Here is a 26299-nt window from a genome sequence, read left to right on the forward strand (position 1 = left end):
GCCGGGCGTGGTGGCGGGCGCCTGTAATTCCAGCTACTTGGGAGGCTGAGGCAGGAGAATCGCTTGATTCCAGGAGATGGAGGTTGCAACGAGCCGAGATCGCACCACTGCACTCTAGCCTGGATGACACAGGAAGAGTCCATCTCAAAAAAAAAAAAAAAAAAAGTAATAAAAAATAAAGTGCCAAGGCCCCTGGGGGGCCGTCCCTGAACTGCCAGCCTTTGCTAGGGGTGGCCTCCCTCTGCTTCACCCCCCCACCCCGGGGGCTCCTCCTGAGGCGGGCCTCCCTCCACATCGCCCCCTACCCTGGGGCCTGCTGTCGAGGCGGGGCTGTGCTTTTCCCCTATTTTGTTCCTAGAACTCTGCCCCTTTAAGTGAGCTGGCAGCACAAAGCACCTGTCACAGGGCATGAAAAAAAATGCATCAAGGTGCCTCAGGATTCTCACAGCCAGGGGTGAGGGTTGTGTGGGGACCCTGGCCACAGGGATGACGGTCAGTTCAGGTTGGGGCATCTGATCCCCAAACTGCACCCCACAATCTCATTTCCAGCTAATTCCTGCCCCACCCTCTGCCCATCCCCCCGGGAGACACAGCCCGCTCTAGACATCCCATCCTGTGTGGCATCCCCACCCCTGCCTCCACCCAATGCTGATCTGGCAATGCCTAGCTCCAGGCCCACACCACCCTCCCAGACCTGCGTGTCCCCCACCCTCACTCCAACAGAAGCCACAGGACCCCCGAGAACAACTTGAATGTTAGCGTCAGCACCTCTGGGGAGACAAGGTCAGTGCCCCAAAGCCAGTGGCAGCTTGTGTTTTTTTAGACAAGGTTTTTGGAGTGCAGTCGGTCACAGCTCACTGCAGCCTCAACCTCATCAAGCGATCCTCCCATCTCAGCCTCCTGAGTAGCCAGGAGTACAGGCACATGCCACCATGTCTTGCTAATTTTTCTATTTTTAGGGGGTAGAGACGGGGTTTCACCATGTTGCCCAGCGTTCCTCCCGCCACGGCTTTCCAAAGTACTGGGATTACAGGCATGAACCGCCGCACACACCACTTGTATCTCCTATGCCCGTGTCAAGCAGCAGCAGGGCGGTGGGAACGGCTGCACCTGCACTGTGGCAGCTCGCAGGCCTCCCTGACGTCCAGGCGGAGGCTTTCTCAAGTGTGGGTGCCTTGGGTCCGACCCAGGACCCCCTCCCCAGCTCCCGTCCTGTGGAGGAGACCCCACCATGCTTCCTCACCACCGGCTGGAGATGTCCTGACCCCCTGCCCACTGCGCCCTAACATTACTGACTCTAAACCAGAACCCAGTGCCCACCCTGTCCTCACCGTCCTCACCCCACGGCATTCTGAGTGAGGGACGCCCAGGCCCACCCACTCCCTGGACTCACTTCTGTCCCCCCGAGAGACCTTGCCCGGGACATGTACCCACCTATGCCCTCTACTGCCCACCTCAGCCCTGTGGGACCCAGTGGTGAGGAGGGGAGTCCTCACGGCCAGCCAAGGACAGGATGGTGACGAGGGGCAGGGGAACGAGGGCCACCAGGCCTTGGCTCATGATGCCTCCAAATTCCCCAGGGCCTCCCCAGAGCCTGGACACCGCTGCATGGCAGGGTGGGTGTAGCCTGCCAGCCACATGTCCTCTGCCCCACCCCTCGCTGGAAATGCCTGTCCCGATATGGCCCACGGGTCCTGCCGTTGCCCCTCACCATGCTCCCTGATGTGTCCAGGCTGGCCTGGGGGTCGTGCTACCTGAGGCGGCAGAGCTGAGCCAAGGTCCAGGACCAGTTTCAAGAGGGTGGGCCAGGCTCCTCTGAGCCCATTTCTAGGGCAGCCCCTGCACCCTTGCCGTGCTGGACTCGGTGGGGACGTCTGGGTGGCTCTCTGCAGGTGACACACGTGCTGTGGCTGGCCAGGTGGGTGGCAGGTATGTGGGGGTGGAGCTCTCAGCTCTATCACTGCCAGGCCCTGGGGTGATGCTGGGCAGAGCTGTCCCTGCGAGGGCCCTCGAATCCAGGAGTGGGCGAGTCCGGGATGGTTCCAGAGCTTCCAAACCCACATCCAGCCCAGGATGTGAGAAGCAGCCCAGAAAGGCCTGAGCCAGGCTGTCCTGGTGGGGCAGGTACTGTGGGCCCCGCCTGCCCAGCTGACAGGAGGCAGCCAGCGGATGCCCGGGTGGGAGGGGCTCGAGCTCTCAGGGTGTCCCCCAGCTAGGACTCATCCAGGGCAGGGACCCCTCATGGGAGGATGGGGAGTCACATGGTGCCCAGGACCCCCGACTGAGGACTGCAGCAGACCCGTCACAGCAAACGGAGTGGAGGCCTGTATTTCACACCTGCTCACTCACTCCATGGCTTAGAAAAGAACACGTCCACCGCGGAGGCCGCAATGCCCACCTAGAGCAGGTCGTAGAAGTAGTCCAGGCCCTGGCCCAGCTCCCAGATAGAGACCCCAACGCCCAGCTCCCGGGCCAGCTCCAGCCGCACCTGCAGGGACTGGGCACAGATGGAGGTGTGAGCACCTGCTGGGGCCTGTCCCCCCAACACCCAGGGATGTCCTCCAGGCCGAGGGGCAGCACCGCCTGGACCCCAGGCCAGTGCCTGCTGTGCTGTCGCATGGCCCACCCCTCCCCCGGTCCCACGGCTGGCAGCACACGCACCTTCAGGGTTGGGTAGAAGACGACGTGCCTCCCACTGCGGCTCCTGCAAGACAAAGGGACTGTCAGCCCATCCGCTCTGCTGGTTCCAGGCCTCCTCCCCTCACAGCCAAGGTCCACGGCCTGTACTCCTCCCACCCACCAGGTGGCCACCTGCTGTCCAGCTGTGCTCCAGGGCCGGGAGCAGCAAGTGAGCTCGTGACCCTGAGACCCCCTGGGCCCTGCTGCTCCCTCATCTCCACCCCCAGGGCCCCTCCCTGCACACAAGGCCAAGGTGGGCCACGCACTTCAAAACACTCACTTCTTGTACTCGAAGAAGTGCTCTGAGGCCTGGCTGTCCCACACCATCCGGGGCCTGTGGTCCTTCAGTGTCTGGATGTACCTGGGGAGACCAGGATATGGATTTGGGAGCCCACCCAGCTCCCCCACAGCCCCACCCTGTACCCCCAAAGGCTGTGGCTCTCAGCAGGGGCAGGGCCACTCGGGGCAGCCACTGTCCCCAGTGGTCTGGGGGACAACACCTGGTGGGGTGGCCAGAGCCCCAGGCCGTGTGAACCCTGTATTAGAGGAAACCTCAGGAAAAACATCTTCCAGGAGCTTCCTCGGAAGAAGCCACCCCACCAAGTCCTTTCAGTGGCCTGGAGAGTGACACGGGGCCTGAAACTGCCTGAGCCTGAGGGTGACCCTCAGGCCGCGCAGCGGCTGCTGGACAGGGCTCCTCACTCTGTCCAGACCCCAGGTGAGAGGCTAACCAGACAGGCCTCAGGCTGCCCTGGCCCCGCTGCTGGCCCTGGACTGATGGGCAGTGCCTCGTACTGGGTGGGCAGTGCCTTGTACTGGGGATGGCTGCCCGGGGCAGTGGTTTCTGCACCTTTTTTTTTTTTTTTTTTTGAGACGGAGTCTCACTCTGTCGCCCAGGCTGGTGTACAGTCGTGCGATCTTGGTTCACTGCAACCTCTGCCTCCCAGATTCAGGTGATTCTTCTGCCTCAGCCTCCTGAGTAGCTGGGACTACAAGCACACATCACCATGCCCGACTAATTTTTGTTATTTTTTAGTAGAGATGCGGTTTCACCGTATTGGCCAAGCTGGTCTCGAACTCCTGACCTCGTGATCTGTCCGCCTTGGCCTCCCAAAGTGCTGGAATTACAGGCGTGAGCCACCGCGCCTGGCCTCTGCACCCTTTCAAAGACTGAGTCTGCCTCAGTCTTGAACAATGACCACCCCATGCCCAGGACAGCAGCAGGCCCCTCCTGAGCACCAAGAGTCAGTGGTTTGAGAACCACCCCCTCCTTCACACAGAGGACAGGCTCATTCCCAAGGTGCTGGGGACACGACTGCGGCTTCCAGGTCACGGGGCCCTGAGTGTGTGCACATCTCACACTGCACATTTGGGACCAGGGCAGGTGGTTCCAGAAGCTTCTGGTCTCCACAGACAGGAGTCTGTGCAGGTGGAGGCAGCTGACAATGGAACATGACCAGTGCCTGCTGCGTGAGGACAGTGCCCCCCACGTGCCTGGGGCTGCAGCCTCAGGGAGGAGGCCTGGCGTGGGGCCTACAGCCCGGGTGCCATGTGGGAGGGGAGGACAGGCAGTAGGCAACTGCAGGGGCGCAGGGACCTGGGCCGTGTGGCATGGACATCCGCAGGATCCTAAGGGGTCACAGATGGACAGTGCAGGGTTTATCCAAGTGAGAAATGGCCACAGGACCGCACCTCGAGCCACCTTTCTGCTCCTGCCCAGGAGTAGTGGGATGTTTGAGGCTCCCAAACGGGAAAGGCTGCTGTTGTCCTGAGCAGGGCAGAGTCCCCTTGACACTGGGAGCCTCTTCCAGACTAGGGCACATGTCACTTCAGAGCTGTGAATGGGAGCAGCTGCCACCCCCCCAGCAGTGCTCGACAAAGTGCCAGACCCCATCGGGTAGCTCTGGCCTTTTGGGGCATGGAGGCTGCTCTGCAGACATCAGACCCCGGCAAACACATGGCAGGGAGGGTGGGAAACAGCATTCGGGCAGCCTCCCCAACCCAGACAGTTTCCCTTAGACGCCTGTTTCTGTTTTTTTGAGACAAAGTCTCGCTGTCACTCAGGCTGGAGTGCAGTGGCATGATCTTGGCTCACTGTAACCTCCGCCTCCTGGGTTCAAGCAATTCTCCCACCTCTGCCTCCCAAGTAGCTAGGATCACAGCCACCCGCCACCACGCCCAGCTGGTTTTTGTATTTTTAGTAGAGATGGAGTTTCTCCATGTTAGTCATGCTGGTCTTGAACTCCTGACCTCAAGTGACTGCCTGCCTCGGCCTCCCAAAGTGTTAGGATTACAGGCGTGAGCCACCGCACCCAGTCCCTCTAGACTCTGGTAATGGGATGGCAGCAGTGGCTGGCAGCTCCAGCCATCCCAGGCCTGGAAAAGGACTGCTGGACCCCTGCCCTCCTGTGGCTGGGCCAGGCCCCTCAATGGCCACATGCAAACATGGTCCTTCCAGAAGCCCCTCCAGACCAGGCAACGTCATGGAGGCTGCCAGCATAGCCACAACCCCATCAGACAGCTCTAAAATTACTGCATTATCCTTAACTGAAACACCACTCAAGGTGTTGTTGGTGTAATTTGCAGCGTCCCCCCTCAATATCTGCTGGGTGGCTCTGTGAGAAGAATGGGATGTGCAGGGTCGTGGGCAGATACCTCAGGGCAGGGTTGGCCCTCGGGCTGTGGGGAGCTCTGGCCACGCCACACACTCCTCCTCCTGGGGGGCCTCTGTGGTCACTGCTCAAAATCTGCTGCCTCCAGGAGGAGGTGAGGCTGGGGGTGGCCAGGACCCCTGAGAGCACTGGGTGCCTCCCACTCAGGAGCCCCAGCCTGGTGGTTTGGCGAGTGGGTGGTGACCACGCTGTGGGGGCAGCCATGACCAGGGCGCTGTCAGGGACCCCAACCCCAGGAATCGCTACTCCCAAGCAGGCCCTGGGGACGAGGAGAAGCTGGAGCCCAGGTGCTGGGTGGGGGTGTGTGCCCAGCTCCCAAAAGCCCAGGGAGGGTCTGAGAGTCACTCCTGGGGAGGGAAGGTGGGGCCACCCGGTATAGGGGCGGGGCTGAGTGAGGACGGGCAGCTGCAGGCACAGCAGAGGGAGTCCAGGCCCACAGCAGAGGGAGGACAGTCCTCAGAGGGCCGCAGACACACACAGGGGCTGGGTCCTTGGGGGGCCTGAGTGGCCATCCAGGCTGGTAACTGGGACCCCCTTGAGGGCTTGTAAGACCCCAAGGAGCATGGCTGGTGTGATGGACAAGCACACCAGGGGACCAGGCTCCCAGGAGGAACAAGGGCCACACAGGTCTTTTGGGCGCAGGCACCAGCCACAGTGAGTGGGGAGCGAGCGAGGGGCCTGCCTGGGAGGAAGGAAGGGCCACAGAGAGGGCAGGGGAAGGTGAAAGTCCGAGAGTGGGTGCAGGGAGCACTGCAGGAGCCCAAGGGAGGGACAAGCACATGGACGGGGAGGATGTAAGGAATAAGGACTCAATGAACACGGACAGCTCGGCCTCACAGAAACATCCAGAACAGACAAACCTACAGAGACGGTGGGCTGGAGGTGGGCACAAGCTAGGGCGGAGAAAGAGGGCACAGCTGCTAAAAGGCACAGGGCTTCTTTTTTTGGGGAGCAGTAATGCGGGCTGTACAATTCTGGAAGCGTGTTAAACGCCACTTTGAAATGGTGCATTTTATGGTATGTGAATTTCATCCAACCTCAAAAACAGCTGCAAGGCCTCAAATGGAAAGGGCCAAGGAAAGCCAAACAGGATATACACACAAAACACACCGAGACGCGCCACAGAGCAATTTAGGAGGACCAGGGACAGAGGTTCGACGCGTTTCTAGGGAGAAAGCAGATCAAGTGTGAGAAAGATGTCCTTGGACCTCCTGATGTGTGTGTGTGTGGGGGGCGTCACCCCACGGAGACCAGCTTGGAAACTTTTGGAGAAAGGGCTGCAGAAAACCAAAATAAGTGGGATGAGAGGCTTGCTCCAAAGCCTGGGGACTTTGCCAAGGTCTAAAACGCAAGGATTAAAAACAGAGGGGGCCGGGCGTGGTGGCTCACGCCTGTAATCCCAGCACTTTGGGAGGCTGAGGCGGGCGGATCACCTGAGGTCAGGAGTTCGAGACCAGCCTGGCCAACGTGGTGAAACCCCATCTCTACTAAAAATACAAAAAATTAGCCAGGCATGGTGGCACACACCTGTAGTCCCAGCTACTTGGGAGGCTGAGGCAGGAGAATCACTTGAACCTGGGAGGTGGAGGCTACAGTGAGCTGAAATCAAGCCACTGCACTCCAGACTGGGCGACAAGAGTGAAACTCCATCTCCAAAACAAAAAGATAGGGTCTTGTTCTGTCACGAAGACTGGAATGCAATGGTGTGATCATAGCGCACTGCAGCCTGGACCTCCAAGGCTCAAGCGATCCTCCCGCCTCAGCCTCCTGAGTGGCCGGGACTACAGGTGTGCACCACCACACACTGCTAACTTTTAACATTTTTGTAGAGATGGGGGTCTTGCTCTGTGACCCAAGCTGGTTTCAAACTCCTGGCCTCACGTGATCCTCCCCACTCGGCCTCCCAGGCTGTAATGATTACAGGCGTGAGTCACCACATGCAGCACCCCTTGGACTTGACCCACCGGCTGCTAGGGCTGTCCTGGCTCCAAAGGTAGAGCAGTCATGGTATGCTGTGAGCCGCCCTGAGCCACCATTAGAAAACGATTCCGTGTCCTGGAGGCAGCAGACAGAAGACACAGCCTGGTGGTGCACAGCTTCCTGCAGGGAAAAGTGCATGAGGCCCGGCTCTGGCCTCAGGAGTGTGTGTCGAGAGAAGCCCTTCCCAGGACCCCTCAGGAGCCCCCACAGGGCTCTGCAGCCAGCTCCAAGGAACGGGTCCAAGGGAGTGGAGCTGCTTCTGGCTGGTGGGAGGAGGGGCTTGCAGGCTCGGGCCAGGGCTGCTGTGAGCAATGGTGAGGCCCCCAGTGCCAGGCCCAGGCCCCCTCCTGAAGGGAGGACATAGCTGATGGCTGGCCCTCCCCAAGCCCACCCTGCAGACACTGAAACCCCAGGCCAGGTGCTCCTATCTTCACAGGTTTCAGTTGCCTCTCAGAGCTTGAGTTCAACCAGACAGCCCTCCTCGGTGGGTGGCCATCCTTCTTCGGGGCTGTCCTGTCTGAAATGTGGGATCCAGCCATGTCCTGACCGGAGGCCCTGAGGTTCACCGTCTCCCGCTCGGGGAGGCGGGCGTGGCTGGGCCCGCAGGTAATGCCAGCCAGTCCCTGCACCTGGCCCCATTGGGGATGTGCTCAGGAGCTGCTGCTAGTCAGCCAAGGCTCCCAGAGGCACAAGCTGTAGACACTGAGGGCCCCGGGTGTGGAGAAGACCTGGCTCCTCGTCACTGGCTATCGGAGAGCGCTGGGGTGTTAGGAGAACACGGTGAGCATGAGGCCGGGGATCGGGGCTGGGGTTGCTGAAACTCTTAGCGCCACATGAGGCCGAGGGAGTCAAGTCCTGGGGTGGCCATGAGGGGCTCGCCACACCATTCTATGCACTTCTATGCTTGAAGATTCTCACAGTAAAAGATTCACAAGACAGAGGAGGAAAACGCCTAGGTCCACCGAGTCGTGGCAGCAAAAGACGCCACGGCAGTGATGAGGACCACGTGCCTAAGATTCAATCCCTGCTGCTGCCGGCCTCCCAGACGTCCCCTGGCGGGTGACAGACAGGATGAAGGAACGATGGGCTCCACTCTGCAGAGGACACAGTATAGGCTGGAGGAGCGAGGAGGCTGGGACTGGATGACTGGCTGGTGTGGGTGGCAGGCGCCGCATTGCTTGGCGGTGCACGTGGTGTGTGGGGGCATGTGAGGCTGGGGGCTGTCTGCTCTTTAGGGCGGTCGCAGCTAATAAGTGAGATTTCAGCTAGAAAAGCAGACATCTGGTGCCAACACAAGGCGAGAACAGAGGGTGAGGAGAGGCGTCTGAGCTGATGTCGCCAGAGCTCAGCAGGAGCCGGCACAGGTGCAAGGACAGATAAGCCTCGAGAAAGGGCCAGGGAGAAGAGCCCCAGCTTCTAGAACAGATAGGGAGGACCCACAGGACACCCCACAACGGGTGGCCCATCTCACCCTGTGCACGTTGCAGGCAGTGAGCCCTTGGGCTGGATTTGGTGTCCAGAGTGGATGACACCTGTCCAGGGCAGGACCACAGGGTGCAGATGAACAGTGCAGCTGAGAGGGAGGTCGGGGCTCAGGGAGGGGCTGGACACCACCTGGGCAGAGCCAGGGTCAGGAAGAATGTTCCAAGGAGCTGCGAACACGGCCCCTCCACCGTGCAGACATTCAGGCGGAGGCAGGAGTGCCGTCCACTCGTAGACGGGACTCTGGCACAGTTGAGAGCCAGGAACCTACCCAGGGAAGACACTGGTGGCTGTCAGGCATCACACTCCCAGCAGCAGGGTTGCCTCTGCCTGTGATCCTTGCCAGTGTCCTCCTTGGACTAGAGTGGGCGTGCCCTCCCTGCTGTACCCTTGAGGCAGGAGCCATGGCTGTGCAGCGTCAGCACTCTCTCGGCCGGCTCGGCAGCTGTGAGGATGCACGTGTGAGCGAGTCTTGGCAGCCGTTTATTTATTCCAGCCTTGCGGGAGGTGGCCCTGCTGAGCTGGCATCTGTGCCGCTGCCCTGGCCAAGGTCTCTAGGCAGGGACAGACAGGGCAAGAGCTACTGGCCACCCAGGATGGGACGTGGGGACGGGCACTCTAGGGGCCCCTGAGACCCAGATCTCCCTATGGCCTGCTCCCCTCCAGTGGTCCTGCATCCAGGCTGGAGCCTGCCAGGTGCCCACACCCCTCCTCTGTGCCACTCAGGCCCAGAGGTCATTAACAAGGGCACTTCGGGTGGGCGAGGAGGGCAGATGAGGGGACTTCTCAGCTGGGAGTGAGGACCCAGAAGCAGTGCCTTTCTTTCCTGACTGGGTGCACACAGACCCCAACTTGTGCAAAGCTGGGGGGTCCTGAGGGCATACACCCCCACACGCTCACATACACACCTTTGTAATCAGAATTCCTTGGCCCCAAACCCCCTAGCCAATTCTCAGAACAATCATGGGTGGGTGCAACTGCCCACGGGAAGCTGCTGAAGGCTTTGGTTGTTTTGGAGACAGGGTCTTGCTCTGGAGCCCAGACTGGAGTGCAGTGCAGTCTCCACCTCCACAGCTCAGGCATTCCTCAGCCTCCTGAGTGGCTGGGACCACAGGTGTGCACCACCATACCGGCTAATTTGTTTTTAAACTATTTGTAATGATGGGGTCTCTCTATTTTGCATAGAAGATCTCGAACCCCTGGGCTCAAGCAATCCTCCTGCCTTAGCCCCACAAAGTGCTGGGATTACAGGTGTGAGCTGTTGCGCCAAGCCACACTGATGCCTTGTGTGACCTGACCCAGGCTCTTGTGCAGTGAGTGAGCCCTAACTCATCACCCTCAGATGGTGTAATGGGCTGAGCTGTTCCCCTAAAATCCACAGGGTGAAGTGTGTGATGTCTTGAATGTTCTCTGCAAAATTCACACTGAAATGTAATACCCACTGTGGCACTGTGGGGAGGCGGGGCCTTTAGAAGGCGGCACTGTGGGGAGGCGGGGCCTTTAGAAGGCGGCACTGTGGGGAGGCGGGGCCTTTAGAAGGCGACACTGTGGGGAGGCGGGGCCTTTAGAAGGCGGCACTGTGGGGAGGCGGGGCCTTTAGAAGGTGACTGGGTCATGAGGGCTCCGCCCTGGTGAACGGATTAATCCATTCATGGACTAGTGGGTTAATGGACCAGTGGGTGACCATGGGCATGGGACTGTGGCTTTCTAAGAAGGGGAAGGCGGCAGCTCGCTCAGACCCTGTACCACGGACACCCTGCACCACCTCCGGACTCTTCGGAGTCCCTACCAGCAAGAACGCTCTCACAGAACTGGCCACGGGCCTTGGACTTCTCAGCCTCTATAAGAAATAAACTCCTGTCTGGGTGCAGAGGCTCACGCCTGTAATCCCAGCACTTTGGGAAGCCGAGCCGGGTGGATCACTTGAGGTCAGGAGTTTGAGACCAGCCTGGCCGACATAGCAAAACCCTGTCTCTACTAAAAATATAAAAATTAGCTGGGTGTGGTGGCACGTGCCTGTAGTTCCAGCTACTCGGGAGGCTGAGGCAGGACAATCGCTTGAACCCAGGAGGTGGAGGCTGCAGTGAGCTGAGATCACACCACTGCACTCCAGCCTGGGGACTCCGTCTCAAAAAAAACAAAACAAAACAAACCGTGGTGGCACATGCCTGTAATTCGAGCTACTCGGGAGGCTGAGGCAGAATTGCTTGAACCCAGGAGGCAGAGGATGCGGTGAGCCAAGATCGCACCATTGCACTCCAGCCTGGGCAACAAGAGTGAAATTCTGTCTAAAAAAAAAAAAAATTCCTTTTCTTTATAAAGTACTCAGTTTCAGGTATTCTGTTATAAGCAACAGAAAACGAACTAACACAAGTCTTAATCCCCAGTGCCTCAGAGTAGCACTATATTTGAAGAAATAGTCTTTTTTATTCTTTTTTTTTTAATTTGAGACAGAGTCTCGCACTGTTGCCCAGGCTGGAGTGCAATGGCGCGATCTCCACTCACTGCAACGTCTGCCTCCCGGGTCCAAGTGATTCTCCTGTCTCAGCCTCCCGAGTAGCCCGCCACCACACCCGGCTAATTTTTTTTTTTGAGACGGAGTCTCACTCTGTCACCCAGGCTGGAGTGCAGTGGTGCGATCTGGGCTCACTGCAACCTCTGCCTCCAGGGTTCACGCTATTCTCCTGCCTCAGCCTCCCAAATAGCTGGGACTACAGGTGCCCTCCACCACGCCCGGCTAATTTTTTGTATTTTTAGTAAAGACGGGGTTTCACCGTGTTAGCCAGGATGGTCTCTATCTCCTGACCTTGTGATCCGCCCACCTCGGCCTCCCAAAGTGCTGGGATTACAGGTGTGAGCCACAGTGTCCGGTCACACCTGACTAATTTTTTGTATTTTTAGTAGAGACGGGGTTTCACTATGTTGGTCAGGCTGGTCTTGAACTCTTGACTTTGTGATCCACCCACCTTATTCTTTTTCTTTTGTAGAGTTAGGGTCTCACCATGTTGCCCAGGCTGGCCTTGAACTCCTGGGCTCCAGTGATCCTCCTGCCTCAGCCTCCTGAGTAGCTAGGACCACAGGCCTGAGCCTGCACTGAGGAAGTCTTTCAAGACGTGATTAAGTTAAAATGATGTCACAAGGGTGGGCTGTAATGCAACATGACTGGTGTCTTATAAGAAGAGGAGAAGAGGACACAGGCGCACATGGGACCTTGTGAGGACACAGGGAGAAGGCAGTTATCTACAAGCTGAGGAGAGGCCCTGGGATCTACCAGCTGAGGAGAGAGGTCCTGGGAGGAGCCGACCCCACCTTGACGGCACCTTCATCTCATCTCCCACCTCCAGCCCCCAGGACTGAGACGAAGCTGTTATTTCAGCTGCCCCATCTATGGTACTTTGTTACCCTTGAAGACTAGTGCGGTGGCGACTCAAGGCCAACACCTGTCTCCCTTTCAAAAGCCCAACCAGAATTGAGGCTTCCCTGAAGGCCTGGGTGAGCAGAGCCCACAGCTGGAGCTGAGGCAGGGCTGGGTGCATGGGGAGGCCTCTTGCTTTGCACAGGGGATCCTGGGCTGGGAGCCCAAGCTCTGTACATGGCTCCACCCAAAGGTCCCAGAACCAGGCACCATGTCAGGGATGTGGTAAGGTGGGGGACATGAGCTGTGCTTCCAGAGCCTTCCCAGGATTCCCAGCATCAAAGGAGGGCCATGGTGGGGGAGGGTGCAGCACACACAGGAGCACAGAGCAGCCCCAACTGAAAGAACAGACAGTTGGGCAGACAGGGCGGCCGGGCCCCTCACTCTGCATTGCAGGGACATGAGAGCTGGCACCCAGTGACTGACCTGTGCCCCATCTCAGCAGGAACAGGGGACCCAAACGAGCCAGGGGCCCTGGGGCATCGCCCTCGCCTGTGCGGAGCCCCGCGTGTCTCAGTGTGTGGCTGAGTTCTCTATGACTCACTGGGTGAGACGTGGGAGAGAAGACGCCAGGCTCTTCGCCCCGCCTGATGCCCAGGCTGACCCCAGGCCCACCTCAGCCAGCACCCCCTCGTGTCCGCCCCCGCAGCAGGGTCAGGCCCTGCTCAGTGACCCAGAGCGCACCCAGGGCCAGAAGCCAGAGAACAGCGGGAGCCCAGGCCTGTGCTGGACCCCAGGACCAGCCGTGTGGACAGAGAGGAGTGTGCACGTAGAGTGTCGGGGGAAAGCCTCCCTAAGGGGACCACCACACACGACCCTGGTCTTGCAACATGGCCCACCTGCCATCTGCCATGGAGGGGCTCACGGAGGGCACCCCTGGAGGCCGGGCAGGGAACACTGCCCCAACATACTCCTCTACCCACTGCTGCCACCCTCAGGACCCGCAAATCCAGCAGGTTACCTCTGCCCCTCCCCACGGCCGACCAGGAGGAATCAGGGGTGATGGCCTGGCCTCGGCTCACCTGCCTGGGCTGACACACGCACACACCCCTCACGGAGGGCAGGCCTGTGGGGGACCTGCAAAAACTCGTAAAGACGACAGCCGAGGCCTCCACAAAAAGGACCAGGTTCTCCAGAAAAGTGAGCAGCTAAAACTGTTTCTAAGAAACTCAACTGCATCCAGAACAAAGATTAAGATGATTTATAAAAATGCTAAAACACCCAGCACGCAACATGGTAAAATTCGCAATGCCTCAGGCATCAACCCGAGAGTACCAGGCCCACAGGAAGGCAGCATAATAGGACCCCAAACAAGGAGGAAAAGCAGCCTCCTGAAACCGACCCTGATATCAGAACCAGCAGACATGGGCACTCAGCAGTTCTTACAACTGAATCCCAATCTGCAAAAGTTTAGTAGAGACATGGAAGACGTAAAGGGGACCCCAAGCAAGCCTCTAGAGAATTATAACATGTTGGCTGGGCTTGGTGGCTCACGCGTGTCATCGCAGCACTTTGGGAGGCTGAGGCAGGAGGATCGCTTGAGCCCAGGAGTTCAAGACCAGCCTGGACCACATAGTGAGACCCCCATCTCATAAAAAATAAAAAAAATTGAATTACAACACGAGGTGACAAAAGCACTGGATGAGATTAACGGTAGGCTGGGTGGTGAGGGAAAGGACCACGTCGGGCGGTAGGCTGGGTGGTGAGGGAAAGGACCACGTCGGGCGGTAGGCTGGGTGGTGAGGGAAAGGACCACGTCGGGCGGTAGGCTGGGTGGTGAGGGAAAGGACGTCGGGCGGTAGGCTGGGTGGTGAGGGAAAGGACCACGTCGGGCGGTAGGCTGGGTGGTGAGGGAAAGGACCACGTCGGGCGGTAGGTTGGGTGGTGAGGGAAAGGACCACGTCGGGCGGTAGGTTGGGTGGTGAGGGAAAGGACCACGTCGGGCGGTAGGTTGGGTGGTGAGAGAAATGACCACGTCGGGCTCAGGATGGATGGGATTAATGGCAGGTTGGGCACAGCAAGAGAAATGACCAGGCCAGGCACGGGGCTCACACCTGTCATCCCAGCACTTTGGGAGGCTGAGGCAGGAGGATCGCTTGAGCCTAGGAATTTGAGACCAGCCTCGACAACATGGCAAAACCCTGTCTCTACAAAAAAAATACAAAAATTAGCGGGGCATGGTGGCATGCACCTGTGGTCCCAGCTATTTGCGAGGCTGAGGTGGGAGGATGGCTTCAGCCCAGGAGGTTGAGGCTGCAGTGAGCTATGATCACACCAGTGCACTGCAGCCTGGACGACAGGGTGAGACCCTGTCTCAAAAAAAAAAAAAAAAAAGAAAACAGAGAAAAAAGAATCCCAGCCCGGTGTGGTGGCTCACCCCTGTAATCCCAGCACTTTGGGAGGCCAAGGTGGGCGGATCATGAGGTCAGGAGATCGAGACCATCCTGGCTAATGCGGTGAAATCCCATCTCTACTAAAGATACAAAAATTAGCAGGGCGCGGTGGCAGACGCCTGTAGTCCCAGCTACTTGGGAGGCTGAGGCAGGAGAATGGCGTGAACCCGGGAGGCAGAGCTTGCAGTGAGCCAAGATTGCGCCACTGCACTCCAGCCTGGGCGACAGAGCGAGACTCCGTCTCAACAAAAAAAGAATTCCAAAAGGTAAAAGGTGTATTCGTGAGCTGTGGGACAAATTCAATGGATCTAGTGTTTGTGGTCTCCAAACGAGAAGACAGAAGAGAAGAAACAGAAAAAATATTTGAAGAATTTGGCCTCAAATTTTCCAAGTTTGCTAAGAGTACGAATGCAGACTCAAGAGGCTCCATGAACACTGTGCAAAAGGAAAATGAAGACACGTCAATAAAATTGTTCAAAACCAGCCATAAATACAAGATATTCCTACGAGCAGGGAGGACAGCAACACAGGCAGGAGAAAGAGGTGGCGGTGAAACGCTGTCCGAATGAGAGGGCGGCCACATGCTTAAGGTGCCAGTGAAAAAACCGACAGCCAGAATTCTACAGCCAGGAAAGATGTCCTCCAGAAATAAAGTAAAGTAATGCCAACAAGAAACCACACTCGCAGAGCATACCAAGAACACACAAAGCAGGAAATTACTCCCGGGCAGAGGAGAGGAGGAGGAGCATTCAACCCAGGAGGCCCCGGCCCGGCCTGTATGCTGTGGGGCAAGGCTGACGGGTGGGGGAAGCCTCAGTCCCAGCCTCACGCAGATGTGGGGACAGCCTCACGCAGATGTGTGGCCGTGTTATGGGTGGTGACCACAGTGGGGGCTGCGGTGGGGTGGGCACCAAGCAGGACCGGCTCCTGGCCCAGCCCCTATCTCTGACTCTGTGGGGCAGAAGCCCCAGGGGACCGAGACCCTCCCCATCACTCTGTCTCCTTACACCCACACCCACCCGCGCCCAGTGACACCTTCAGCACGGCAGGGAGAGCCCTTGGCTCACCTGGCCCCGACAACAGGCTCACGGGCATCCTTGGAGGTCGCGTAGTCCATACCATAGAAGTTGAGCCCCAGGAGGATTTTGCTTCGCCACTTGGACTTCGGGTCCAGGACCTGGACGCAGGCTCGAACCCAGGACAGGGGTGCATTAGGGCCAGGCCTGCAGGGCAAGGGGTGAGCGAGTTTCAGCAACAGGGAGGGCCCCGCACCTGAGCCATCATTGGGGCCCTCCACTGAGGGGTGCATCCTCCCCATGCTGCGGCTGACACCTCTAGAGAGTTGTAAAGAACAGAAGTCACCCATCAGAAAGGGCTGTCAGCAGAGCGGGCCCATGAGGGACGTCACGTCCAGGGCCAGGATCACCCATCAGAAAGGGCTGTCAGCAGAGTGGCCCCATGAGGCATGTCCAGGGCCAGGATCACCCATCAGAAAGGGCTGTCAGCAGAGCGGGCCCATGAGGGACAACACACCCAGGGCCAGGCACTCATGTGCGGCCCCCACCCCACAGCCACAGGCAGGAGTCCGCATGACACAGTGGGAAGGAGGTCAGCAGACACAAGGCCTTCTGGGCATCCTTCCTGAGGTCTCCCTGCCTGCGCCTGTGTCACACGGCCCTCCCACAACAGTGTGGCTCAGGCGAAAGAGGACAGGGCGGCATCGGGCAGCAGCAGGACTATGCCTGTACCTCTGGCCGTGACCCAGCTCCACCAGAGGCAGGGCCCCACCCACGTGACCACCACAGGGCATGGGGCAGGTGCAGTCCCACTGGCTTCCCTCAGGTGGGTGTCCAGACTCAGCAGGTGACCTTGTGCACAGAACCACAGGCAAGAGGGCATCAGCTGTGCCCAGGAGCCCCCCAGGTCCACACTCACTGCTGCACTGTGGAGTTTGCTGTGCCCAGGAGCCCCCCAAGCCCACACTCACTGATGCGCTGTAGAGTAGTCGTAGGTCATGAGGCTGAAACCATCCAGCACGGGGGCCAGCTGCTCAAACTCCTTGTGCGTGAACATGCCCAGCTGGTCGGTCCTGTAACAGACAGGTGCAGCCACCTCAGGCTGCTATGCCCTGCCTGAAGCCCCTCCCCAGCTGCGGTTCGAGCAAGCTGCCTGTAGGGGACTTGGGTCACTTTTCCCAAGGGGAAAAGTGTTCTTCTGGGGTGGGGACAGCCTGCAGCTTGGTTGGGGCCACAGAGGCTGGGGGCTGGGAGACACAGGGGGATGTGGTCATCGGGGCCCAGAGGCCTCTCTGAGACCAGGGTACAGCTGAGAATGACAGACCTAATGGCGGGGAGACCTGGGCCAGGGCTGCCCATGGAGGGGCAAGGTCAGTGGAGAGTGGCCAAGAGGATGGGCCACTCCCAAGAGCTGGGGTTGCTGAGATGGAGGTGACTGATCCAGGCTCCCAGGAGCGTCCCCTCCCGGGGTCTGCAGCAAAGCCTCCCTGAAGGCAGAAGCAGCTCCTGGGATGCAGCCCTCAAGCCCACTCAGGGTCGGCCTGGCCCAGCCAGGCTGTCCAAAGCCCTCACTGGACCTCAGCAGGTAGACGGGAAGGACAAGTGCTTGGCTCCCAGGGATGGAGCAAGGCTGTGTGGCACATTCCCCAGCATGGGGGAAGGGGCGCCAGGGCAGGTGGTCGGCTGCGGACACCTGTGGCATGGGCACCGCGGAGGAAGCGGCCCTGTTCTGTCTGCCTGGCCCCTGGGCCATCTCTGGATGGCCGCCCTTCCCTCGGGGACCTGCTCCTTCCTGACCTGGATCCACTGGGGACTAGTGTCTCCTGGGGCAGCCTTCCCGCCTGGCCCAGGGAGAGCTGGGTGCTGGCCTACGGCCCCTCCACACCCAGATCTATAAGCCAAGGGGAGACAGGAGCAGTACATGAAGGTCAACACCGAGGGGGCGGAGGGCCCCACGGCAGCAGGACGTAGGACAACAGCATGGGGGACGCGGCCGGAGGAGCAGCATGCACTGAAGTGAGGGGAGGGGGTCCCTGTGAGGCAGTGGGCCCTGATCTCCCTCAGTTGTGACCCCTCCTCTGCTCAAGGGTCACTGGGCTACCAAATCTGGACCACGCCAAGGGCCTCAGTGCTGGGGCTTCTGTCAGGGGCTTGAGGGCCCAAGACACCTCCTGCAGATCCCTGGACCCACCTGGCAGGTCTGAGGAGCGCCTCTCCAGATGTGCAGTTTTATCCCAGCCCCTGCCTTGAGTCTACCAGGACCAAGGTCTGGGCCTTCCTCCTCTGCTGAGCACAATGAGAGGCCCAGGCCCCAGAGTCTGTCCACCCCAGGCTGTCCCGGCCTGCAGGTACGTGGAGCATCATCCATGGTCCCCTCAGCCCCGACCTCTTTTCCTGATGCCTGCCAGCCCCACCGCTCAGGCACGGTCAGCCTCCCCAGATCCCCGACAAACACCTCCCAGCACTATGCCCATCACTCCCGGTGGCCTCCCTCAGTGCCTGGGCCCTTCTCTATAGCCAAGTGCCCCTAAGACTTCAGCCCCAAATCCAGTTGTCCACTGGAACCTTCCTGCCCTGCAACCTCCCTCTGGGCCGAGGCCTCCACCCAGGTCCTCTCACCGAAACCCAAGATCATTTCTTTTTTATTTCTGAGATGGGGTCTCTATGTCACCCAGGCTGGAGTGCAGCGGCACGATCCTATCTCACTACAGCCTTGAACTTCTGGGCTCAAGCAATCCTCTTGCCTTTTTTAGTTGATTCAAAAAGGAAAAATGGGCCGGGCGCAGTGGCTCACGCCTGTAATCCCAGCACTTTGGGAGGCCGAGACGGGAGGATCACGAGGTCAGGAGATCGAGACCATCCTAACACAGTGAAACCCCGTCTCTACTAAAAATACAAAAAAATTAGCCGGGCGTGGTGGTGGGCGCCTGTAGTCCCAGCTACTTGGGAGGCTGAGGCAGGAGAATGGCGTGTGAAACCGGGAAGTGAAGCTTACAGTGAGCCGAGATCGTGCCACTGCACTCCAGCCTGGGCGACAAAGCAAGACTCCGTCTCAAAAAAAGAAAAAAAAAAAGGAAAAATGGCGGGGTGTGATGGCTCACACCTGTAATCCCAGCATTTGGGGAGGCTGAGGCAGGTCAATCTCTTGAGCTCAGGAGTTGGAGTCCAGCCTGGGGAACACAGCAAGACTCTGTCTCCACATTAATTAAAAAATTAGCCGGGTGTGGTGGTATGTGCCTGTAGTCCCAGCTACTTGGGGGGCTGAGGTGGGAGGATGGCTTGAGCCCAGGAGGTGGAGGCTGCCGTGAGCCCTGATCATGCCACTGCACTCCAGCCTGGGCAACAGAGCAAGACAATTGATGAATCGGTCTTGCTGTGGACAGGGTGCTTGTGTCCCCACAAATGGTTATGTTGAAGCCCTAACCACTGATGCGATGGTTTCTGGAGACGGGGCCTTTAGGAGGTGATTAGAGCTAGACGAGGCCATGATGACGCGCCCCATGGTGGAGTTAGTGTCCCTATGAGAAGAGACACCACAGCTCTCTGCCATGCGAGGACACAGCAAAAAGGTGCCGACTGCACCAGGAAGAGGCCTTGCCGGAAGGTGGGCTTCGGGCTTGCCAGCGCCTCTCCGAGTCGGTCCCAGGTGGCACCTTGGCCCCTCCCACACAGAGCCCCCCAGCTCACAGCCCCACATCGCTCAGGTCCTGGCGGCAGATGCCAGGCAGCGTTGGCTGCGTCGGTTCCATCCCAGCCTGGCTGCTCCTGAGCCATGATCTCCCCGTGGCTTTCATTTGTGGTTCTCTCATGAATAACATGGTTGAGCATCTCCTGGCCTGCCCATCAGCTCCATGCACGCATCCACTGTGGCCTCTCGTGGTTCAGAGTCCAGGTCTCCTGCCCGCTGTTCTCTGGGGTCTTTGTTGCTTTCTTTCTTTTCTTCTCTTCTGTTTTTGAGACAGGGTCTTGCTCTGTTGCCCAGGCTGGAGTGCAGTGGCACAATCTCGGCTCACTACAGCCTCAAGACCTCTTGAGCTCAAGCTCCTCCTCTCAGCCTCCCGAGTAGCTGGGACCACAGGTGCCACCATGTCCAGCTAACTTTTAAATTTTTTGTAAAGATGAGGTCTCACTATGTTGCCCAGGCTGGTCTCAAACTCCTGGGCTCAAGCGATCCTCCTGCCTCAGCCTCCCCAAATGCTGGCATTACAGGCGCGTACCTCCACACGCAGCCCGTCGTTGCTTTCCCACCACCGTGTTCCCATTTTCTCTCCTCTAGCTCTCTCAGGTGGTCATGTGCTCTTGGTCAGTGGTGTGGGCAGCATCGTCCACCTGGCGAGAGGCTGGTCTTCTCGCTCCTTTGTGGTGTCTTCTGATGCACCCACATCCTGGTCCGAGTTGTCTGTGTCTGTCACTCCTTCCTCTCACGTGCTCCACGGTTCTGCTTCTGACTTGGGCCTTTGCTGCCCCTAGGACCATGGCCAGCAGGACTGCCTGTCCCTTTGGCTCCTACTTTGCCAATCTCATGGCAGCCCTGTCAGCCGCAGCTTCTACTCTGCAGGGGCCTGTCCCACAGTCCAACCCCTCCCCTGTGCCCATGATGCCCTTCCAAGCACCCCGTCCCGCTTCACACGCTGCTATCAGACATGTGGGGTCCTGCCGTGAGCCGGGCTCGTGTGCCTCCCCCACATCCACGGTGCTGCAACGCCCCTGTCCCTCTCGTGGGCGCCATGCCCTCCACCACCTCATGGCCTTGGCCACACCAGGCACTCCTGGCAGAGCTGGCTTCACTCCACAAGGCCTTGGTAGGTGAGGCCACGTGTCCAGGATCTGGTTCCCACCAGCTACAGAATGTGGCACAGAAACCACGAATGCTCCCCATGCGTCCACCAGAAATGCAGCTCCACGACATCCCCAAGCAGGAAGGGGCAGTCCTGCCAGGGGACATGGCTCCACACCACGCCCCTCAGTGCAGCATGCTGACATGTGACATGCCTGTGGCACAGCTTGCATTTTCCCTTCGGGGCTCACGCAGCCACCCACTGACCCAACAACTTTGCTACAGCTGGGCACCAACCACGGCCGCAGGCTAAGAACGGTCCTCACGCTTTCAAGGGTGGTAACACAACACGAGGGAACAAAGCAGGCCCCATTCAGAGGCGGAAGCAGCTCACGGTGGTGATCAGTGGGAGAAAGAGGGGAGGGCACCAGTCCTGTGCCCCCGGTCCTGCCAACCCCCACCTGGTGCTGGCCCTGAGGACCACCCGGGAATGTGGACCTCCTCCTACTTGCAAGAAACACTGCAAAAGGGCCACTGCCAGGTGTCCTCCCCAGCCTGTGTCCTTCACCCAGACACATGCGAGAGCCGGCAGCAGAGCCATCTGTCTCCGTGCCCCGTGGCACCTGGACAAGAGGGGATCACCACGGCTGAGCAATGAGGTAACAGCTTGTCACGGATTAGACGCAGCGTGACTTCCGATGAACAGGAATTACTGCTCACACCGAAAACACCATGTTCTGCATTCATTTCTGAGGAACGAAAGCCCCGGGAGGAAGGAAAGAAGGAAAAGGAGCTCATCACAGCCAGCTGCCGACCCTCCCATCGCCATGTCGTGGGTGGGCCCCATGCAGGCAGCGGCATGCAAGTTGAGTGCCCACTCGGCCTCGACTGGACCCCGGGCCCACACCAACGCCAGTGCCTGCCCACTCGGCCTCGACTGGACCCCGGGCCCACACCAATGCCAGTGCCTGCCCACTCGGCCTCGACTGGACTCCGGGCCCACACCAACGCCAGTGCCTGCCCACTTGGCCTCGATTGGACCCCGGGGCCCACAGCAACGCCAGTGCCCCTCCCCCTCCAGACGGCTGGACGCGCTCTGCTCTTCCCGGGCTGCCCCTGCTCAGGCTTTGTGCTGAGACAGGCCGCTCTGTGCCCCAGGGCCCTGGGGGTGCACTGCCCAGCTGGCTGCCTCACACTGAACAATCCCAGGCTGGGGCCTGACCAGGTCCCTCCAGCCACGTGGACCCCACAGCTGCCAGAGGCCGGGGCGGCTGCGGCCTCCAGAACAGCGTCCTCCCAGATCCGAGGGGAGACGGTGACACGAGTGAGCCCACAGTCTCCTGCCATGTACCCACACCGTCCCTCCAGCACAGCACGACTCTCACGTTCTACCTGCGAACTCCCTGAAACCCCCACCCACCCACCTTGGTCCTGACACTGGGCCCACGTGGCAGATGCCCCCTCTTCCCTCGGCCGACCAGCTGCCATCTCTGGGTGACATCTGCATCACTGTAGTTGACGCCAGGCAAAAGGAACGTCGGCTCCACGTCAACCCCTCCCGCCGCCATCTGCTGGGGTGGGCCCATCTCTTCCCTGCTCCTGCACTCCAGCTACCAGACCCTGTGGGCTTAGCCTCCCTGTCTCCCTAGACTGTCATCTTCCAGCCACCCAGCAGGGGAGAGCCATAGTCTCTGACCTCCATTCAGCTGACCTCCCTCCAGGCTGAATGTGAGGAAGGCGTGGGCTTGGCCTATGGTCCCTAGTCCCTGCCAGCCACACCGCCTGGCCCTATAGTTGCCACCTGCAGAGCCAGGCCCCACAGCAGCCCTGAGGGAATGCCAGTCCCCAACCCTAACAGAGATGGTGGCATCACTGTCAGGCCCCATAGCAGTCCAAGGGAATACCTTTCCCCAACCCTAACAGATGCTGGCATCACTGTCCCTGCAATCTCCCATGCTCAGGGCATCTGCCCCCAGCAGCCAGCGGCCACAGCTGTTCCTCCACCCACAGCTCCCCTCCCCCTCTGCCCACCTGTCAGAGATTTCTGAACCCGCTCCCCATGGCCTTGGGTCGCCTGGCCCCTGTCTGCTGCTGCTGGCATCCTCGCCCCCTCACGATGGCTGCTCTACTGTTCTCAGCCTGCAGGCCTAGCCCGCTCCCCATGGCCTTGGGTCCCCTGGCCCCTGTCTGCTGCTGCTGGCGTCCTCGCCCCCTCACGATGGCTGCTCTACTGTTCCTCAGCCTGCAGGCCTAGCCCGCTCCCTGACTGGCCGGTTAGCACCCTTTGGCCCTTTGGGGCCTGACCTCAGCCTGGACCTCGGCCCGTCCACACCGCACGGGGTGCCTACGGTCCCCCACAGAGGCCTCAACACACACTGCCAGCACGCGGCCTGCCCCATCCCCTGAGGCTGCGGGCAAGAGGCAGGTGGGCGACGGGAGCAGGGGCCTCTGTGCAAACGTGCTTGCTGGGGATACGGTGACGGCGCCCCCATGCGTCACCTTTCTCTGACTGCTGAGTTGGGCTCCACATATAGCGATGGCCGGCCCTGAACCACGGGGCTTGCAGGAGCTGGCCAGGGTCGCGGCCCCGCCCACCTCAGAGTGGACCACTGACAACAAGGCCGGCAACGGCGCCAGCAGGGCCCAGGAAGGAAACCAGCCCTTCCTGGGTTCCTGAGGTCAGCTCCCTGGACCCAAGGGGGTCCCAGTAGCTAACAATGCCCAGAAAACACAAGGGGCCAACTAGAGAGTGACCCAAGGGTTCTGCTCCCATGTTAAGGATGGCACCACCACATGGGCACCTGGGGACAGCCTGTTGGTCCCACTGGCCTGTGGGGTTTACGCTGTGGCTTTGCCCCTGGGTCTCCTCCATTGCTGAGACTGACTGTGGGAGCAGGGCTGGAGGTCCGCAGAGTGCTCAGTTCCAGGACCAGACACCCTGGGGTCTGTGGCAGCTGAGTTAGGGCTGCCTCTGTCTGCTGACGAAGGACACGATAAAATTGGCATTTGGCGACTGGGGTGCCCCTCCCCGCAGCACGCAGACCTCTCTCCAGGGGCCATTGTTCCACAGACAGTGCCCCTGGAGAGAGCGAGCCTGTGTGCTGGCAGCGCTGCTCTTGGGAGGTGAGTGACAAGCACAATTACGCGCTGCTGCAAAAGCACCAGGGACAGGGATTTACGAGGCTCCTCTGCAGTGGCTGCTCTTCCCTCAGAGTGGGATGGGGGAAGGATAAACAGATGACAAAACAGCCCTCCTCACCTCTGGGGCTGTAGCCAGAGTCTCGGGAGAACCCACGGGAGCCTCAGCACCTTCACCGGCCCCGCCGACTGGGAGGGCACAGCCCTGTGCTCCAGTGGAGCGGGCGCACAACAGCAGTGCCCAGCCCTCCCCCGAGCTGGGTCCCACTTCCCCGGGGACCCCCACCGTGGGCCTCGGCCCCGCCCCCAGCCTCGTCACCGTGCCCGTAGCCCTGGCGTGCATCCCACCCTACAGCTGCAACCCCCACCAGCGCCATGCAAATGGAGTTGTGAGCTTTGGTTGCTGTGGGGTGAGGGGCAGGGACCTGGCCCAGCTCCAACTGCCCACTTCCTGCCTAGGGCCAGAAGCTCAGGCAGAGGCTGCCACCAGCAGAAGACAGGCACCTGGTCCTCTGCCCCAGCCTCAAGAACTGCCCTGGGCTCCTGAGCTGGTCCCCACCGATGGCTGCTTCTGCAGCTCCCCTAAGCACAAAGGGCAACCTGGGAGCCCCATGAAATCAGTGCCTCACAGAGGTGGCCATGCCCATGGCCTCTGGACAAGGAGTGTCTGCTGCCCCGAGGAATCTTCACCCAGCCCCAGGCCTGTAGTCCTCCCAACCACCTGAGACAGGTGCTGTCAGCTCTGGAAGGACGTGTCCTCACAGCCAGCCCCTGCCAGCCCCCTTCAAACCCTGGGAACACAGGTCAGACATTAGTGCCTTACATCGGAAAAGGCTGGCCACGGTGGCTTGGGAGGCCGAGGTGGGATGATCGCTTGAGCCCAGGAGTTCAAGACCAGCCTGGGCAACATGGCAAAACCTCATTTCCAAAAAAAAAAAAAAAAAAAAAACACAAATTAACTGGGTGTGGTGACATGTGCCTGTAGCCCCAGCTACTCAGGAGGCTGAGGTGGGGGATCACTTGAGCCTGGGAGGCAGAGGTTGCAGTGAGATAAGATTGCACCACTGCACTCCAGCCTGGGCGACAGAGTGAGACTCTATCTCAAAAAAAAAGAAAAAGAAAAGAAAAAGACGCAGCGTGGGGGCCCCACACCCGGGACACAGGTGAGACCCCAGCCCTGGACTTGGGCCCGTTATTGCCGGGGAGGCTGAGGTTGCTGGGCTGCAGGAGCAGAACTGCCGAGGCACAGCCAGGCCCCTGCCCACCAGCACCACCCACAGGTCAGCCCAGCTGGCACATAAGGGAGAGGGAGGGGCCAGGGCACACAGCAGTGCTGCAGACGGGAGGCTCCCCAGGGCTCGGCCTGGGACAGGACCCCCAACGCCTGGTCACAGGCAGAGGGAGTTCTGTCTGCACAATGCTGGGTACGTGTGCAAGAAGCTCAGGCCATGCACGAAGCAGCCCCCAGGGCTCAGCTCTCAGCACCTCTTCTGCTTTCCACTTTCCAGGGTCTTCCATCAAAGGATCAGTCTGAGCCCAACAGGAACTAGCAACTGCGCTGTGCTGGGAGCCAGAAGGGTCTAAGCACTGCCTGCCCCAGCTCCAGGGGAGGAACCTGGCCACGACAGCAGGACCACGGGCACAGGTCTGAAACCTGGTCTGCAGGACATGCTGCTGTGTCTGTCCCAGCACTGCCTTGCCCAGTTGCAGCCCACACTGATCAGCGGAGAGCCCTGGAAAGCTTGGAGAGAAAAGTCGGTTGACTGTGCAAAGGGCCCTCAGCAACCTACAGGCTGTGAAGGAGGCCACCAAGCTGCCTCCTTAGCCAGGGGTGCTACCCTGAGGGCATGGCCGGCCTGTGCTGGCACAGGCATGTGCAGGGTGGCCGCCTCCTGTGAGCACAAACTGGCTCTTCTGTGAGTCCCTCTAGCCAACCTTGGGTTTGGGGGTGCACCCAACCGCACACAGCGAGTGGCCCGCAGTCACCTCTCTGCCTCTGGAGGGAGAGGAGGCTGCAGAGGTGCAGAGGGCTGGCAGCTTTCCAGAGTGGCAGGCCGGGAAGCCCAGTGTCTGCCTGAGGGGCTGCCCTGGGCAGAACCCTGGGACTTCTGCCTCGACACCCTGGGGTGCCCCCAGCCAAGCCAGCCCTGCCTGGCCTCTGTGACTCCCCAACCCAGCCTGCTTCTGTCCACTTGGCCCCCAGGTCTGCCCCTGGGACTCACGTGCTGACTTGGAGCCTTCTCTGTGCCCAGCACAGGGGCACAGAGTGTGTGGCAGCTGAAGCCTCTATACAGACGGGATGAGGTTTGGGTGCTGAGCAGGAGGGCCTGGGCCCTTTGGCCGACACCCTGCACTGGCTGCCCCCGACCCCAGAGCCCTCCACAGCCACCCCCACATCTCAAGAGCGGCACTTACCCGGGGGTGATGGCAGGCGGGATGACCAGGAGGGCCAGCAGCCGGGCCTGGTGCAGAGCCTCGGCCAAGTGGGTGAGCATGTGGATGAGGCCCCTGCAAGAACCGAGAGATGGGGTCAGCAGTGCCTGGCACTGAGGCCTCTCCCAGGGTTCTGTGACACCCGCTGCCTCAGGGAGGGGTGGGGCTGGTCCCCAGCCTGACACCCTGCAGCAGGGCAGGTGGGCCCCTTCGTGGGAACTTCCTATCCATCTCTGGATGTAGCCCCAACAACACTGTCTCATGCCCCAGTGGGCCCCCTAGAGTGGGGGCCTGTGCAGTACCCCAGGAATCCC

General features: G+C 59.9%; 1 protein-coding gene and 1 pseudogene across 20 annotated transcripts in view, besides 4 other annotated features; both read right to left on the reverse strand.

The window, feature by feature from the left end:
* Positions 1-399: 399 nt before the first annotated feature.
* The window catches only part of CHID1 (chitinase domain containing 1), a 47356-nt gene continuing 21456 nt past the window's right edge, over positions 400-26299 (reverse strand). For 9 of the 20 annotated variants that reach the window (XM_011520299.3, XM_047427479.1, XM_047427480.1 and 6 more), the window contains 6 exons: positions 25968-26060; positions 16609-16710; positions 15689-15844; positions 2960-3040; positions 2662-2704; positions 400-2497 (listed from right to left, as the gene is read on the reverse strand). In XM_011520299.3, the coding sequence (XP_011518601.1) occupies positions 2399-2497; positions 2662-2704; positions 2960-3040; positions 15689-15844; positions 16609-16710; positions 25968-26060 (574 nt within the window). In that variant the 3' untranslated portion in view covers positions 400-2398. Of the gene's footprint in view, positions 2498-2661; positions 2705-2959; positions 3041-6347; positions 7452-13414; positions 15057-15688; positions 15845-16608; positions 16711-25967; positions 26061-26299 lie in introns of those variants that run through there. The other 11 variants (XM_011520300.3, XM_047427484.1, NM_001142677.2 and 8 more) reach the window with 6 other exon arrangements.
* Positions 3148-3910: an enhancer, noted in NCBI's record as "H3K4me1 hESC enhancer chr11:870607-871369 (GRCh37/hg19 assembly coordinates)". NCBI's record gives its function as "activates a minimal SCP1, AML or CMV promoter by ChIP-STARR-seq in naive H9 embryonic stem cells {active_cell/tissue: H9 hESC(naive)}" and the evidence as "EXISTENCE:reporter gene assay evidence [ECO:0000049][PMID:30033119]".
* LOC124902604 (extensin-like) lies at positions 13415-14415 on the reverse strand (annotated as a pseudogene).
* Positions 22271-22790: an enhancer, noted in NCBI's record as "H3K27ac-H3K4me1 hESC enhancer chr11:889730-890249 (GRCh37/hg19 assembly coordinates)". NCBI's record gives its function as "activates a minimal SCP1, AML or CMV promoter by ChIP-STARR-seq in naive H9 embryonic stem cells {active_cell/tissue: H9 hESC(naive)}" and the evidence as "EXISTENCE:reporter gene assay evidence [ECO:0000049][PMID:30033119]".
* Positions 23830-24347: an enhancer, noted in NCBI's record as "H3K27ac-H3K4me1 hESC enhancer chr11:891289-891806 (GRCh37/hg19 assembly coordinates)". NCBI's record gives its function as "activates a minimal SCP1, AML or CMV promoter by ChIP-STARR-seq in naive H9 embryonic stem cells {active_cell/tissue: H9 hESC(naive)}" and the evidence as "EXISTENCE:reporter gene assay evidence [ECO:0000049][PMID:30033119]".
* Positions 24348-24867: an enhancer, noted in NCBI's record as "H3K27ac-H3K4me1 hESC enhancer chr11:891807-892326 (GRCh37/hg19 assembly coordinates)". NCBI's record gives its function as "activates a minimal SCP1, AML or CMV promoter by ChIP-STARR-seq in naive H9 embryonic stem cells {active_cell/tissue: H9 hESC(naive)}" and the evidence as "EXISTENCE:reporter gene assay evidence [ECO:0000049][PMID:30033119]".

The sequence above is a fragment of the Homo sapiens genome, chromosome 11 (assembly GCF_000001405.40).
Source record: "Homo sapiens chromosome 11, GRCh38.p14 Primary Assembly".
NCBI classification, from domain to species: Eukaryota; Metazoa; Chordata; class Mammalia; order Primates; family Hominidae; genus Homo; species Homo sapiens.